Raw genomic sequence first — 17,355 nt, 5'->3', positions numbered from 1 at the left:
AGGGTGAACTCTGTTGAACTGGATATCCCTACAAAATTTTCAATCAACTTAAGTACACAAAATATATTTTGCAGTTTTATTTATCATCAGAAGAAAAACATTATCTTTATTGCCTCTTGCGTCTTCCTTACTGGAAATAAATTTTAATTCAGTAACTATGCATTGACCACTATTTAAAACCAGATACTGTGCACTGGCCATGGAGAATGTCAGCATGAATCAATCCCTATACCCAAGGAATTCATGAGTTCAGGTCCCCTGGGTGCTTCCAGTGTCCTGAGGGTTTTGGAGGACACATCCTCACAGGTTAGTCTGTGTTTTCCTCCTTCTCCTTCTTTTTAAATAAACTTTATTTTTTAGAACTATTTTAGATTTACAAAGACATTGGAAAGACAGATACATTGGATATACTCCACACCCAGTTTCTCATATTATTAACATCTTACCTTAGTATGGTATATATAATTATAATTAACAAACCAATACTGATACATTATTAACTAAAGTCTCTACTTTATTCAGATTTCTGTAGTTTTCCCCCAATGTTCTTTTTCTTTTGCAAGATCCCATTTAGAGTACCACATTGCCTTTAGCCATCATGTCACCTTAAGATTCCTCTTGGCTGTGACAGTTTCTCAGACTCTCCTTGTGTTTGATTATTTTGATAATTTTCAGGAATCACTTATTTTTGCTGGGATAAAAAAGAAGTTGATCACAGGCTGCGAATCACCTTCCATGATTATTTGTCTACATGAGGCAGAATTGCCGCTTAACTGCATAGTCCTCTGGGGAAGGCTGTGAAGAGTTTCTTCAGTATGACTCCAACAGTGGCCCTCATCGTGGCTCTTCTCCAAGCCCACTCACCTGGCACCTCCAGGCAGCTGCTATATTTTCAGACCACTTTCCTGTCTCTGAGTTGTGATGTTTGGCATCTCCAAATCTTTTCCAGTCCACCTCAGTCTCTTCAGCTTCCAAATATTTCTCTATACCAAAAGCCCTAATTGCTTCTTTTAACTAGCATTTCAGTCCACATTTTTATCAAGGAGAAATCTTGGACCTCCTTACGCAAGGGCAGAGAGCTCAGTCTTCAAAAACCACAATCGTGGGCTTCAGGTCTCTTCTTCCTGGAGAGAAAGGGAGTTGTTGTTTGCATTCCATCCCTCTTCTAGAACTCCTAACAATTCCTAATGCAGCAAAGAAAAGACAAAACAACTGAGTTGACATTTCAAAATAGATTGAATATTCATATTCTGCTAGACATAATCACAAGAGGAGAGTTAGTATTATTATTGAGGTGTGTAAAAGATGCTAGAGGAGCATAGAGGAGGGAAAAGTAAATCTATTGCTCTGGAAAGAAAGAAGGGAAAGAAAAAGGGGATCAGCAAAGAGTATAAGGCTTTCTTATAGGTAATACCTGAACTGAGTCTTCAACAGTGTGTGGTGGGCAGTGCCAGCATCCCAGGTAGAAGTAACAGCCTGAGTAAAGACAGGAGGGCATGAAATAACATCATATATTTGAGAAAGTGCCAGCAACTCTGAAGTAGTGCAGAGTAAAGGGACTATGAGGGAATGGCAGGAGGAGAGATTGGAAAGTTAAGCAGAAACGAATCAGGCTGGGAAATGCCTTTGATGTCACTCTACGGTCTAAGAATGCTGTTGAACGCTGTGAAGTTAGGTCACCTTGCTGGCTGAGCAGTGGGGTTTAATATCTAGATTGTAAAGGGGTAGGATAAGAAGGTAAGAAGTTAGTGCACTCAGCGAAGAGATCTATCATCCCAGATTGGGCCATGTAAGTAGACTGATAAAAGAACCTATTTAAATTTTGAGTTAAAACAAATTAAAATGTTCTGAGTTTGCTGAGTTGGTGAGTTGACTAACAATCGGCAATGCAAGATTTAAGACTAGTTTATATGAGACCTTAAAACTCTGGCTGCTTGGACCAAGACACTCTTTGGTCAAAGAGAAGTCCAGGAGGCTATTTGCCCTCTAGTGGCAACCACAAAGCATTTTCTATTTGCTAGAAACTGACTAGAATATTCAGCGCAGAAAAAATGTTCCCAGGAAGCCAGTGGCCACTATACTTCATGAAGCTGTTTTAATTAGTATCTAGACTTGAATATCTAGCTTAATACACAAGCCCAATATAAGTTAGTTAAGATAGAAAAAAATGCTGTTTAATAATAACCAATCAATCATACATACCAATCTCTCATTGGAATTACTTAACACAACTTTTCAATACCATCTTTAACAGGATATGATGGGAATGTAGCATTTTATTATAAATAACATCTCAGATTTTTAAATGTAGTGATTTATTTTAAATGTATAACATAGAAAGATATTTGCAGGATCAGAGATCAGTTTTCCTACATCTCCAAGAATCTATTTTAGGTTCTCTGTTCTGTTCACTTAGATTTTACACTTGCCATCTAGAAAATTTTGGTCCCCAATTTAGCATTATAGAATTTCCAGTTCACTTCTTTCATGTTATTTTCTTTTTTTCCACAGACGTGGTTTATATGTTATTGAAGAGCCTTTGGTATCACCTTTCAATCTTTCAAATGTACAGTCTTTCGAGAAGTAATGCTTTCCCCTGCCTTTGCTAAAGGCATTTCACAGAAGCATCTCATTATTTATTTATAAGTGTAAGTCTCCAGAATAAGGTAACATTACCACTGGTCTACCATTGCCTCTATACACATGAATACATTCATAATTAATAGAATGGTCTATACTAGTGTTGCAGCTAGAACAAACCTAAGGTCAGAGCTCTGGGAGAGCAAGTCATGTCATTATTTTTGTTAAGAAATAAAGAGCGTAAGTTAAAAATTATCTGAAGGGAGGTGTGCGTGTAGGCTAGGGAGACAAAGACAACGGCGTATGGGAAAGAGGACTGAAAACAATTCGCGGAAAAAAACTATAAGATTTTGAACCAGGTCTTGCCAAAAAAAAAAAAAAAGTGTTTTTGTTTTCTTTCTGAGTTGTCTCTCTCGTTGGAGCAGGTTAATGATTGACCACTGCATTCCCCTTTTCTTGCGGGCTGTTAGGCCCTCAAAGAAACGGAAAGTAGTTGAGAAACAATGGGATTAAACTGCCTTAGGAAATTCTGAACGGATGAACATCAAACAGGCAGGTGAGGTTTCTCATGGAATGCTTCTGCCCAGGTTTCCTGCTTCTGGAGGGGAAATTGATCTCATTAAAGAGTTCTCTTCCATACAATGGATAATGATGAGGGTGAGGGGTTATTGACATAAAAAGATGTTATTCACTCTACACGGCTAAGAGGGGGAAAAAGCAAGCAACAAAACATATGCATAATATAATGCCATTTCTGTAAAAATTACATAGTATATGGATATTTATTTACATATAGAAAATCAACTAGATTTGCTCTAAATGTTAAATAGAGATTGTCTCAGGTTGATGGGATTATGGGCAGTTTTAGTCCTTCCCCTGCCCCTATGTTTTTAGTGATTCATATGTGTAAAAATAATTGCTTTGGCCAGGCACGGTGGCTCACGCCTGTAATCCCAGCACTTTGGGAGGCCGAAGCGGGTGGATCACAAGGTCAGGAGTTCAAGACCAGCCTGGCCAAGATGGCGAAACCCCCATCTCTACTAAAAGTACAAAAAAATTAGCCAGGCATGGTGGCAGGTGCCCGTAATCCCAGATACTTGGGAGGCTGAGGCAGAGTATCACTTGAACTCGGGAGGCAGAGGTTGCAGTGAGCTGCGATCGCGCCACTGCACTCCAGCCTGGGCGATAGAGCAAGACTCCATTGCAAAAAAAAATAATAATAATAATAATAAAAGAATTGCTTTAAAAAGTATAAAAATATTTTCTTGAAACAGAAAAAGTTAGTTACATTGTAGTTAGCTAACCATTTGTATACAGTAATTAATTTGTTTTAAAAATTACTTAAAGTCCTACAGGAACTAGAAAAATCAAAGTGAATGCTAAGCTGATTTTAGAGTGTATAGACTTTCCTGTGTGTTAAGTGAGCAAACAAAAACACATAAAAGATTAGTTTATTTTATCACATAATTTGTACAGCTTTCTAAAGGTTTTTAAGAGGAAATAATGTTTAAATAAGTATTAAAGACACATACCAAACTCAGATAAAATATTTACAATACATCGGACCAATTAAAAATGCTTAGCACAGTGCCTGGAACAAGGCGAGGGTTTAATAAACAGATCATTATTATGATTAGTGTATTAATGTATTACAAACCAGTAATAAAAATAAAAATTCTTCAAGATTGGACAAAAGAGATGGACAAACCTCTAATCACGCAATGGCTAATAAACATATGATAAAGTTCAAATTATACATTATTCATAGAAATGCATGCTAAGGTAATAAATAGATATGCAATTCTTTACCCATGAAGTAAACAAAGACATATTTTTAAAAAGGTATTTTCCAATACCGGCAAGGTTTCAGAGAAATGGGTACTTTTATACCATGCAAGTGAGAAAATGAATCAGTACGAACTCTCTAGATGGCAATTTCTCAGTGAATATCAAAAACCTTTAAAGTATTTATATTAGTCAACCCAGGAACTTCATGCCTAGGAATTTATCTTAAGGAAACAATCAAGAATGTTAACATACACCCTTTAAAAGACCCAATAGTTTGGCTTGCAGAAATTTATCCTACAGGTAATACTTCTAGTGCACATGGACAAAATGACACAGATGTTGCACAAGGTTGTTTATGTAATTTCGTAACAAAAGATTGGAAACAACCTAAATTACCATCAATAGCAGTAAGAGAAATACACTGTGGTACTTTGAGACAATAGAATATTATGGAAGAATAACAAAATGAAAACAGAATGTGCACATATAGAAAGATATCCTCCCGATATTTTTAAATTTTAAAAAGATACAGAACAGCGTAAAAATGGGAGAAAATGAGAATATGTTTATATCTGCTAGTATATTCAAAAAAATAACTCTCAAAGGATAGGTAAGAAATTAATAGTGGCTTCTGTAAGGTGTGAGAGGGAATTAGGCAGACATAGGACAAGAATGAAAGGGAAAATATTTTCTTTGGTTTTTGAACCACATACATTCATTAGTTTTCTTTTTTAAAAAGTAAATAAATGAATTTTTAAAAATACTCACAAAATGCATGTCAAGATAGTATGGGAAAGCCAAGTATCTTTTAAACGTCCAAGCTGAATAAATACAACACCCGAAATTCACTATGCTCATCTTTTCCTCTTTGAAGACAGAGAAAATGCTTTTCTTCTCTTGGCATCCTCCTATCTGAAAAAGTACCTGGCACATAGGAGGTACTCAATTAATTTTAGAGGAATAAATGAATCAATGAAGTTTTAAAAGTTAAGTTAGTCACCAAGGAAAAGACTATACACTCTTCTCACCTTCAGATTTTTTTCCAGCAAGTAACGATTATTTTTTTAGAGAAGACGCAAAATAAAAGTTCCAATGGTCCAAGTCGCTATTTTAAGTGCTCATTCATCAGTTCTAAACCTAAAGAGGCTGTTAAAGTAGATTATTAAAGCAAAGCTAAAATCAAGTAAAATAACTGCACTGCCACACTATGGTACCATATAGGTTCATAAACCAGGTTTATCATTTCCATCCAGTCACGTGCCAAATCACTGTTCCTTCTCTCGCCAATGAGAGATATCAGGGTATGTTCACAACTAAACCATGACAGTTAATGAGGGATGGAAGACATTGAGCTTAGAGAATGTGCTATAAACCATCAAAATCCACCACCAAACACACCCAGTATTAAAAATGATCTAGTGCTAGTATAACAGTTAACACTGGGGGTAATGTTCAGGGGCAGAAATGAAGCCTACAAAATGAGCTGGTGACTGTATATTAGATTAGTGATTCTCAACACTGACTGCCCATTATAATCACCTAGGGAGGCTTTAAAAATACTGATTCTAGGGCTCCACTCCCAGAGATTCTGATTAAATTTCTGTGGGGTGGAGCTCAGGAATTCCCACTGAAAAAAAATAGTAATGCCGATGTGAGGTCAGGGTTGAAAAATGCTTCATTGGACCATGGGAGGGATGGAGGGAAGTTTTTTCCTTTTCTTACATAAATGGATGATTTAATCAGCTGGTGGCAGCCATTACAATTCATGCAAACACAAAATTTTTCTGATTCACCTCTTCACCTGATATTTTCTCATCTTCCCTAGACCAAACCTTCCCCAAAACTCCATGCTTGGACTATTAATATTATTTCCTATGGGTCTCTTCGCTTGTTTTCGTTCTTCCCTCATATTTTCACCTTGCACAACAATGACAAGTGGCTTTTCTTATATCAAAGACTCTATGTGTAAGGTATTTGTCATCTAAATTTCTCAGGTTCGGCTTCCATTCTGAGCTCTGCCATTATCTAATGAGATTGTACTGCTGCTCAGTTTCAACTACACCAAATTAAATTGGGTAACCTCTAAGGTTGTCTTACCCCACCAGTAAATCTTCAATCCCATTTTTTATAGTTTCCCTAAATATTTTTAATTGAAGTCAGACAAAATCTTCTTCACCCCTCAACTTATTTTTTGCTCCTTTCCTTCCAATGCAATTGTTATTTATGCTGTTTCTTCTGCTTTTTCATTCCCTCAGCCAATCATATGCACAATCACGTGGCTCAAGCTCATCTTCTCCACAGGTTTTAGGAACCCAGACCACTTTATATCCATTATATTCTTACTTTATGCTTTCCTTGGTACTCTGTGGTCAAGATTCTCTTTATTCAAAGTGCAGTTCAGGGTTAGCAATATCAACATCACTTGGGGGCTTGTTAAAGATGCAGAATCCCAAGCCTCTTCTGCATTTCATCCAATTGCCAGGTGACTTCATGCACATCAAGATAAACTGGCCTATACCCGTTTATTAGCACTTGCTTTGTTTTCTAGTTTCTCTCTTTCTTTCTTCCTTCCTTCCTTTTCTTTTTCTCTCTCTCTCCCCTTTTTTTTTTTGAGATGGAGTCTTGCTCTGTTGCCCAGGTGGGAGTGCAAGTGGCACCATCTCGGCTCACTGCAACCTCTGCCACCTTCAAGTGATTCCCCTGCCTCAGCCTTCTGAGTAGCTGGGACTACAGGCGTGCATCACCACACCCAGCTAATTTGTTTTTTTTTTTTTTAGTAGAGATGGGGTTTCACCATTGAGAGGTGACAGCGTGCTGGCAGTCCTCACAGCCCTTGCTCGCTCTCGTCGCCTCCTCTGCCTGGGCTCCCACTTTGGCGACACTTGAGGAGCCCTTCAGCCCACTGCTGCACTGTGGGAGCCCCTTTCTGGGCTGGACAAGGCCGGAGACGGCTCCCTCAGCTGGCAGGGAGGTGTGGAGGGAGAGGCGTGGGCGGGAACTGGGGCTGCAGGTGGTGCTTGCGAGCCAGCGCGAGTTCCAGGTGGGCGTGGGCTTGGCAGGCCCCGCACTCAGAGCAGCCCACCAGCGGTGCCGGCCCCGGGCAGTGAGGGGCTTAGCACCTGGGCCAGCAGCTGCTGTGCTCAATTTCTCGGTGGGCCTTAGCTGCCTTCCCACGGGGCAGGGCTTGGGACCTGCAGCCCGCCATGCCTGAGCCTCCCCCGACGTCCGTGGGCTCCTGTGCGGCCTGACCCTCCCTGATGAGCACTGCCCCCTGCTCCATGGTGCCCAGTCCCATCCACCACCCAACGGCTGAGGAGTGTGGGCCCACTGCGCAGGACTGGTAGGCAGCTCCACCTGCGGCCCCAGTGCGGGATCCACTGGGTGAAGCCACCTGGGCTCCTGAATCTGATGGGGACTTGGAGAATCTTTATGTCTAGCTAAGGGATTGTAAATACACCAATCAGCACTCTGTATCTAGCTCGAGGTTTGTAAACACACCAATCAGCACCCTGTGTCTAGCTCAGGGTTTGTGAGTGCATCAATGGACACTCTGTATCTAGCTACTCTGGTGGGGACTTGGAGAACCTTTGTGTGGACACTCTGTATCTAGCATCATCTAGTGGGAATGTGGAGAACCTTTGTGTCTAGCTCAGGGGTTGTAAATGCACCAATCAGCGCAAACAGACCACTCAGCTCTCTGTAAAATGGACTAATTAGCAGGATGTGGGTGGGGCCAGGTAAGAGAATAAAAGCAGGCTGCCCCAGCCAGCAGTAAAAAGCCGTTCGTGTCCGCTTAGGTGCTGTGGAAGCTTTATTCTTTCGCCCTTTGCAATAAGTCTTGCTGCTGCTTACTCTGTGGGTCCCCACTGCCTTTATGAGCTGTGTGCTACTCACCGTGAAGGTCTACAGCTTCACTCTTGAAGCCAGCGAGACCACAAACCCACCAGAAGGAATGAACAACTCCAGACAGGCCGCCTTATGAGCTGTAACACTCACGGGGAAGGTCTGTAGCTTCACTCTTGAGCCAGCGAGACCATGAACCCACCAGAAGGAAGAAACTGAACACATCAGAAGGAACAAACTCCAGACACGCCGCCTTTAAGAACTGTAACACTCACCGCGAGGGTCTGCGGCTTCATTCTTGAGGTAAGTGAGACCAAGAACCCACCAATTCCGGACACCATGTTGGTCAGGCTGGTCTCGAACTCTCCCTCGGCCCCACAGAGTGCTGGGATTCAGGCATGAGCCGCCAGGCCCTTAACTTTTATTCCAAAAAAATTTCAGTTAAAACTTCCAGTACATAGTATTTGCATAGCAGGGACCCTGAAGTGTTTGTTAAATGAATGTCACATATATCACATACTGTGATAGGAATAAAGTCATTCGTTTGAAAGGTTGATAAATACAATGATAGACTGCTAGAACTTCATGAGTCTTAAGAGAATATCTCACCAGATCTCATCTTCCAGATTTAAAAAGGGGGGCACAGACTTCAGCAGGAAGGGCTGATTTAACGACATCTACTATAATGTGAGTCTGGGCCACACTCTGGTTTTCCAGTTTCAGTAATGATGCATCACTACTCTTGAAAAACCACCAGAAACCAACAAGTAAGCACCCAAAAAGATGTTTAGGAATTCAGAAGTACTCCTTTTACTCTAGCCTTAAAATTATTTGCTCTTGCATTGTGGATTACCCATCAACAATGTCCAGTCCTTACCAGGAGTCAGGGAGAGCGTCAAATGCTGGGCATACTGAAATGACCTTAACCCAGTACTTGGCCACCTACAGGACACTGTAATGGAGAGCAAAGCAGGACAGAGGTAATGCAAAACACAAAAACACCAAAAAATTGGAAATCTTTGGAGCCATTTGCCTTCTAGAACCTTAAAGGCGCCCTATAGTCCCACACTATAGAATATTGGAAGAGCAGTCGGCTGTAAGTCTGAATCATGAGTTCCTTACACTTTTTTCTACCCAGTTCAATTTTGGGAACTTCCGAGTCCTGGTCCTTTCATTGTTTGTGATACCCAACACCCAGCACAATGCGGAGAGCACAGTAAGGTGGCAGTGAATTCATCAATACTTTCAAAGTCTATTTTATCTACAAGGACAAGTTTTATTGTATGTTTCCTTTTAAATAAGTGCCACAGTCGCAGTAAGTGAAAACATCCTGACACCACCCCAGCGGCCCCCCCAGCTCGTGGGCCTCCCCGCAGAGCGCGCGCCCGTGGGGGTAACCGGCGGAAAACTAGGGACGCGGGCACAGCCGCAGACTGGGCGTGGGGGGCACCGGAATGGCCGAGCCTGGGACGCTGGGACCTCTGGCCGCCGCGGGGCGACCAGGCGGGCGGAGACGTCTCGCGCCCTCCCGGGCCGCGCGGCTCCAGGCGCATTCCTGCACCCAGCTCCCGCGCGCCGCGCTGCGCTGCCTCCCCCGGACAGCTGATTCATTGGCTCGGCCGCCCAGACTGCCTGGCGCCGGCTGCGTGACGTCACCCATTCACGGAGCCCGCCTCCCCCGCTCCGCTGGCGCCGGCCGGGCGGTCGCCCTGACAACGCAGACGCCAGCCCGCACAATGACTTCCAGCTGGAGCAGCCCAGCCAGCCTGCGCGCTCACTCGCTTGCTTGCGCTGGGCTTCAGGGCGCCCGGGTGAGTTTTTTTCTCTCCCTCTCGTTTTTTTTTTTTTCCCAGGCTCTCGCGGGTTTCCCCTGCCAGGGAATCCACTCGCTGTAGTTTTCTAGGGCTCTGGTCCCAGTCCTTTCTGAAGCGCGCTTGCAGGCTGTCTTCCTCAGTCGCCCTCTCCCTGGGTGCTGTTTTGCTGGGCAGCATCCCATGCTAGGCTCGGCAGACATTCTGGCGGTTGGGTTCGGCCCTTACAGCGCTAACACCTGCAGAGTCGAGGCTCCTGCCAAAAGGCAGAAAGCAAAGGAGGAAAAAATTCATTGTCATAATAGCGAAAATGATAAACCTCAGCTGTTTAAGAGAAGAATGTCTGAGTAGCTGTTGATTATCTCCCATAATCACAAAACAACTTTTTTTTAAAAAGAATTTGCACTGTCTGTTAAAACGCGGTCATTGTTTTGCTTTCAAATCGAACTTCACGACAGTTAGCAACTTCAAGAACGCTTCCAAATGGATAAATCTTTCCAGAAGGTAAAACAAATCTGGGAAGTTGTAGCAGTGTAAATTGGAGAGTGTGTGAGGGTCGTATTTGGAGAGAGAGAGACACACACACAGGAGATTGGTGGTCTTGGGGCAAGGCAAATAGCTCATTCGCCCCCCCACACCTCCAGTTTCCACCCCAGACCTTTAAATCTTGAAGGTGGAGGAAAGGGAGACGTAGCTGTTGATTAGAGTTGGGTGGGAGGTAATTCTTATTCTAAATTTTCATTTTATTTATTTTTTGGTGCCAGATTTCTTGCTTCAAAACAGCTGCATTTTTGGAAGAAAGTCCACAACTGACAACTAAGCAAAACCCTCCTGGTGGATAGCATAAATCTGCTTTGTTGAAGCTGCTCATTTGTCTGATCTATGAGTCCAGAAGATGCAAACTCCCTTCCCAGCTTATGCAAAAATACTTCCAGTAAAAACAAGCCCTTTGGCCCTTTTCTTTTGTCAGTCCAGATTTCAGCATGTTCTTCGCTTTGTTATTCATCATTTTATGTATTTGGACCCATCCTCAAACAGACTTTAAACCGTTTAAAGGCAAGGAGGGACTCTTTCGTAAACCTTTAATCCCCTGGCCCAGCTGAGTAGATGCACAGTGTCTTTTGATGATGGTGATATGGAATGATTAATAACCACACAAGGCATTCGGTTGGTCAAGTCACTGTTTATTGGCTCAAAATAATCCTTGGTTTCTGTATGTCTACAGCTCACTTCCTAAACAGTTAAATCCGGAGAAGTCTAATAGATAATAGTTGGTGATCATAAATATAAATAACCAATACATTAGAATGTGTAGTCAAAATAGGAATACTTGCTTTTCACTTACTTCCCACGGGTCGCTGCTGGTGGTAGTCAACACAAATAAAAATTTGAACTCATTTTGTTATTCATCTAAAATGAGAAACTCGGTGAAACATTGATTTTCTAAAATTGCTGCATATTTAAATGTGATTATAATTGCTTTTTAGCATTTTAAAATTGTAACATCGATACCAAATGCTTAAGAATCTAAAGAATAGTCTATTGGGGCTGGCCTATTTTGTGTAAAATGGTCTGTATCATAATGGATGACTGATTATCCCATCCACATTATTTGGATTCACTTAATACTAGGTTTTAACGTTAGGAGAATAAAACCCTCAAGAAACCTAACATAGATTTGTATATTTAGTTTTCTCCTTCCTTATCATCTTCCACCAGACTTACAGGTGTTCCACCTGCTTGTAGTTTCGGTAATAATACCAGCTGGCGGTGGTTCCTAACTCTAGCTACACTTTAAAATTACCTCGTGCATTTAAAAAAAAAATGCAGTTGTTTAGGTTCTTCCCCTAGATATTTTAATTTACAAGGTTTGGGATGTGGCCTGGGCACCGATTTTTTTAACTTTTTATTTGAATGTAGACTTACAGGAAGTTGCAAAGATAGTACAGAGAGGTCTGATAGAGCCTCCACTGTTGGTTACATCCCGCATAGCTAGAGCACAATAATAAAGCCAGGACATTGACACTGAGATAAAATGTGCCTGTGATTCTGTGTCACCTTATCCCTGAAGACTCTTGTAATCATTACCACAATCAAAATACAAACTATTTCAACACCACGAAGATCTCTCTCATACAGTCCCTTTATGGTCGTCCCTTTCTTTCCCCCACACCATCCCTAACCCTTTGCAACCATCAGTCTGTTCTCCATTTCTATAATTTTGTCGTTTGGGGAATGTTTTATAAATTGGTCCTCACAGCTTGTGACCTTCTAAGATTAGCTCACCATCCCCCCCACCCCCCCACCCCACCCAACTCAGCAGAATGCCCTAGAGATTTATCCAAGTTATTGCAGGTATTTCTAGTTTGTTCCTTTCTGTTACTGAGTTCTACACTATGGGTGTAACACAGTTTGTTTAATCATTCAGCATTCACCTATCATACATTTTGGTTCCTTCTTTTTTTGGGCGGGGGGAGTGCCTATTACAAATAAAACTGTCTTGAAAAATTGCTTGCAGGTTTTTCTGTGGACCTAAATTTTCATTTCTCTGGGATAAATGTCCAGGAGTGTGATTGCTGGGTCATATGGTAAGTATGTGTTTAATTTTTAAAGAAACTGCTGAACTATTTTCCAGAAATGTGGTACTATTTTACATTCCCAGCAGCCATATATGAGAGATCCAGTTTTTCCACATCCTTACCAGTATTTTGTATTGTCACTATTTTTTTACTTTTACTGTTCCGATTAGGTGTGCAGTGATACCTCACTCTGGTCTTAATTTGCATTTTCCTAATGACTAGGGATGTTGATCATTTTCTCATGTCTTTGCCATACACATATCCTCTTCAGTGAAATCCCTCTTCGTGTCATTTTCTTATTTTCTTGATTTGTTCTGTTACTGTTGAGTTTTGAAGGTTCTTTAAATTATAGACATGAGTCCTTTATCAGTTACATCAGCAGTCCTCAACCTTTTTGGCTTCAGGGACAAGTTTCGTGGAAGACAGTTTTTTCCACGGAAGTGGGGGTGGTGGGGGAAATGGTTTCCAGATGGAACTGTTCCACTTAAGATCATCAGACATTAGATTCTCATAAGGAGCATGCAAACTAGATCCCTCGCATTCGCAGTTCACAATAGGGTTCGCTCTCCTGTGAGAATCTGATGCCCTGGCTGATCTGACAGGAGACAGAGCTCAGGTGGTGAGGCTGGCTCAGGAGGTGCTTAACTCCTGCTGTGTTGCCAGCTTCCTAACAGGCCATTGACCTGTACCAGTCTGAGGCCCAGGACTTGGGGACCCCTGAGAGATGTGGTTTGCAAATAGTTTTTCCCAGTGTTTTTGCTGTCTTTTGGATCTTTTGGGCCACATCCGGTGGCTCACGCCTGTAATCCCAGCACTTTGGGAGACTTAGGCGGGTGAATCACCTGAGTCGGGAGTTCGAGACCAGGCTGACCAGCATGGAGAAACTCCGTCTCTACTAAAAATACAAAAATTAGCCGGGCCTGATGGCGCATGCCTGTAATCCCAGCTACTCGGGAGGCTGAGGCAGGAGAGTTGCTTGAATCTGGGAGGCGGAGGTTGCAGTGAGCCAAGATCGCGCAGTTGTACTCCAGCCTGGACAACAAGAGCAAAACTCCATCTCCCCAAAAAAAAAAAAAAAAAAAAAAAAAAAAGGATCTTTTGGAGAGAAAAAGTTTTTAATTTTAATAAAATCCAAGTTTTTAATTTTTTTTCTTTAACTTTTAGGTTTGGAGTACATGTGCTAGTTTGTTATATAAGAAATAATGCATCATGGGGAGTTGGCATATAGATTATTTCATCACTAGGTAATAAGCACAGTACCTGATGGGTAGTTTTTCAATCCACCCCCTCCTCCCACTCTATACTCAAGTAGGACCCAGTGTATAAAAGTATAGTTGACTTTTGTATGTTGATCCTTCTGTGACTTTGCTGAACTTATTGGCTCTAGGAGTTTTGTTGTTTTGGGGTTTTTTGTTTTTGAAGGTTTCTTGGATTTTTTTTTTTTTTTTTTTTTTTTTTTACAACGTAGGGAAACCTGTCATCTGCAAATAGCAACAGTTTTAGTTCTTCCTTGCATTTCCTTTTCTTGCCTTATTGTGCTGGCTAGAACTTCCAATATTGTGTTGTGGTGAGGTGGGACATCCTTGTTTTGTTCCTGAGCTTAGGGAGAAAGCATTCAGTCTTTTTTTTTTTTTTTTTTTTTTTTTTTTGAGATCAAGTCTTTCTCTCTCACCCAGGCTGGAATGCAGTGTGTGATCTCAGCTCACTGCAACCTCTGTCTCCCGGATTCAAGTGATTCTCCCACCTCAGCCTCCCAAGTAGCTGAACTACAGGTGTGTGCCACCACGCCTAGCTAATTTTTGTATTGTTAGTAGAGATGGGGTTTTGCCATGTTGGCCAGGGTGGTCTGGAACTCCTGACCTCAGGTGATCTGCCCATCTCGGCCTCCCAAAGTGCTGGGATTACAGCCACCATGCCAGGCCAGCATTCAGTCTTTCGTATTAAGTATAATATTAGTTGTAGGGTTTTTTTTTCTTCAAGTTTTTAAAAAGTCAGTTTGAGGAAGTTCCCTGCATTCCCAGTTTTCTGAGAATTTGTATTATGAATGGATGTTGAATTTTGTTAAGTACTTTTTCTGCATCAACTGATGAATCATGATTTGTTTCCCTTTAGCTTGTGAATATGGTAGATTATTAATATATTGATTGATTTTTGAATGTTAAATCAGTCTTTCATCCCTAGGATGCTAGCTCATGGTATATAATTCTGTGTTGATATAGTGCTGAAGGCCATTTGCTAATATTTTGTTGATTGTTGCACTTATATTAACGAAGGATATCAGTCTGTAGTTTCTGTCTCTGTCTCTGTTTATCTCTGTCTCCCTGTCTCTCTCTCTCTCATGCAATCTTTGGTTGGTTTGGATAGCAGGATAATATTGGCTTCCTAAAATAAATTGGGAAGTGTTCATGCCTCTTCTATTTTTGGGGAAAGTATATGTATAATTGGTGTTAATTCTTCTTTAAACATTTGTTAGAATAGTGTGGTAAAACAATCTGGCGGGCCCTGGAGTTTTCTTTTTCTGTAATTTAAAAATTATGAATTCAGTTTTCTCAATAAAGTGCTATTTAAATGATCTATTTCATATTGTGTGAGTTGGGATAATGTGTGCTTTTTGAGGAATGGGGTCATTTTATCTATTGTCTAATTTTGTCTAATTTATGTGGTATTTACTCATTATCCCTTTGATATCTGCAGGATCTGTAGTAATATCCCTGCTTTCTTTCCTAATATTATGTTTTTTTCTCCTTTTTAATTTGTCAGTCTTGATTGGGATTTGTGCATTTTATTGATTTTTTTTTTTTTTCCAAAGAACCATCTTTTACTGATTTTCTGTTTCCAATTTCACTGAGTTTTGCTTTTCTCTTTATTATTCCCTCTCTCTGCTTTCTTTGGGTTTTTCTTTTCCTTTTCTATGCTCTTGAGGTATAATCTTAGATTTTAATTTGAGATTTTTTTTGCTTTTTAATGTAAGCTTTTAGTTCTATAAGTTTCCCTCTTAGCAGTGTTTTTGCTGCATCCACAAATTTTGATATGTTGTGTTTTTATTTTCATTCAGTTCAGTGTATGTTTTGATTTCCACTTAGACTTCCTCTTTGAGCTATGGATTATTTTATAGGGAATTTAGTTTCCAAGTGTTGGGTTATTTTCCTATTATCTTTCTGTTACTGATTTCGACTTTAATTTCATTATGGTCAGAGGATACACTCCATATGATTTAATTCTTTTAAATTTCATGAGTTTGTGTTATGGATATGATCTATCTTGGTGTATGCTCTGTGATTGCTTAAAGAGAATGCTGCTAGTGTTGGGCGGGGTGCTCTGGAAGTGTCAGTTAGCTTCTGTTGCTTGACGATGTTATTGGGTTCTCTTATATCTTTGCTGATTTTCTATCCAATTGTTTTATCAGTTGTTGAGAGAGGAGTGTTGAAGTCCCCAACTATAATTGTGGATATATCTAATTCTCCCTTCAGTTCTATCAGTTTTTGCTTCACATATTTTATAAGTCTGTTATTTGGTGCATACTCACTTAGAATTGCTAATACAGTTCACTTAGAATTGCTTATGTAATTCTTTTTGGTGAATTATATTTCTCTCTGTCTCTTGTCCTTTGCTTTGAAGTCTATTTTCTTTTAATATAGCCATCCCTGCTTTCTTCAAATACTTTCATGACTTTTTTTTATACTTTTACTTTCAACCTATTTCATTATATTTGAAGTGAGCTTCTTGTAGATAGCATATAGTTGGGTCATCTCTTTTTTTAAAATTCATTCTGTGATCTCATTTTATTAATAGTTATATTTAGATCATTTACATTAAATGTAATTATTGATATACGTTTATGCTTTTGTTTCCTATTTTATTTAATATTTGCTCTGTCTTCCTTTTTTTAAACTCTTTCTTGCTTTGGGCTACTTAAACATTTTTTAAAAATCCGTTTTGATTTATGTATAGTGTTTTTGAGTGCAAATATATAGCATTTTTAATAGTTGCTGTAGCTACTGTATTATAGTTATAGCTTACTAACTCTATTGGTGTTAATGGAGTACCAGTTCAAGTGAAGTGTTAAAGTCTTCCCTCCCTTCATATCCCTTCACTTTATAATATAAATATGCAATATAATTGTCTTAAGTATCTCCTGTACATACATTTAGAACCCTACCAGATAGTGTTATAATCTTTGTCTCAGTAGTCAAATACTTAGAAAGCTCAAGAGGAGAAAGAAAACCTATTATATTTTCCCATGGTTTTTTTTATGATTTCTGTCTTCTTTCTTTCTTCTTGATGTTACAAGTTTTCTGTTTTTAATTATCATTTTCTTTCTGTTTAGAGAACTCTTTTCGCTTTTTTTTTTTTTTTTTTTGACAAGATCTTTCTCTCTCAGCCAGGCTGGAGTTCAGTCCTGCAATCATAGCTCACTACAGCTTCACACTCTTGCACTCAAGCAATCCTCTCTTCACCCTCCAACGTAGCACCACCACCCTAGCCAGCTTTTTAAATTTTTTGTACAGATGGGGTCTTGCTTTGTTGCCCAGGCTGGTCTTGAACTTCTGGCTTCAAGCGATCTTTCCACCTCAGCCTCCAGAAGTACTGGGATTACAGGTGTGTTCCACCATGCCCATCGTCTTTAGTTATTCTTTTAAATAGGTCTGTTGGTGACAAACTATCTTAGTTGTCCTTCAACTGAAAATGTCTTGATTTTTCCTTCATTATTGAAGGATATTTTTGCTGGATATAGAATTTTGAGATGACAATTC

The 17,355-nt window shown here is 40.3% G+C and overlaps 2 long non-coding RNA genes across 4 annotated transcripts in view, besides 2 other annotated features; one reads left to right on the top strand and one right to left on the bottom strand.

The window, feature by feature from the left end:
* Nucleotides 1-496: 496 nt before the first annotated feature.
* Nucleotides 497-6,775, bottom strand: LOC105374963 (uncharacterized). The gene is made up of 5 exons (XR_007059488.1): nucleotides 6,712-6,775; nucleotides 5,397-5,514; nucleotides 5,137-5,292; nucleotides 1,415-1,476; nucleotides 497-1,184 (listed from the first exon to the last, which is right to left on the bottom strand). It is a non-coding gene; the product is annotated as an uncharacterized LOC105374963 (long non-coding RNA).
* Nucleotides 2,820-3,385: an enhancer, noted in NCBI's record as "NANOG hESC enhancer chr6:19811543-19812108 (GRCh37/hg19 assembly coordinates)". NCBI's record gives its function as "activates a minimal SCP1, AML or CMV promoter by ChIP-STARR-seq in naive H9 embryonic stem cells {active_cell/tissue: H9 hESC(naive)}" and the evidence as "EXISTENCE:reporter gene assay evidence [ECO:0000049][PMID:30033119]".
* LNC-LBCS (lncRNA bladder and prostate cancer suppressor, hnRNPK interacting) overlaps nucleotides 9,938-17,355 on the top strand; it is a 75,339-nt gene continuing 67,921 nt past the window's right edge. Inside the window, exons 1-3 of one of the 3 annotated variants that reach the window (NR_134649.1) lie at nucleotides 9,938-10,022; nucleotides 10,419-10,526; nucleotides 10,787-12,533. This is a non-coding gene — a long non-coding RNA (lncRNA bladder and prostate cancer suppressor, hnRNPK interacting). The other 2 variants (NR_134651.1, NR_134650.1) reach the window with 2 other exon arrangements.
* Nucleotides 9,970-10,019: a silencer, noted in NCBI's record as "silent region_16976". NCBI's record gives its function as "represses an Ori minimal core promoter by ATAC-STARR-seq in GM12878 lymphoblastoid cells {active_cell/tissue: GM12878}" and the evidence as "EXISTENCE:reporter gene assay evidence [ECO:0000049][PMID:35858748]".

The sequence above is a fragment of the Homo sapiens genome, chromosome 6, assembly GCF_000001405.40.
Source record: "Homo sapiens chromosome 6, GRCh38.p14 Primary Assembly".
Taxonomy (NCBI): Eukaryota; Metazoa; Chordata; class Mammalia; order Primates; family Hominidae; genus Homo; species Homo sapiens.
Note: the sequence above shows the minus strand (reverse complement) of the source record. Positions and strands in the feature narration are given on the sequence as shown.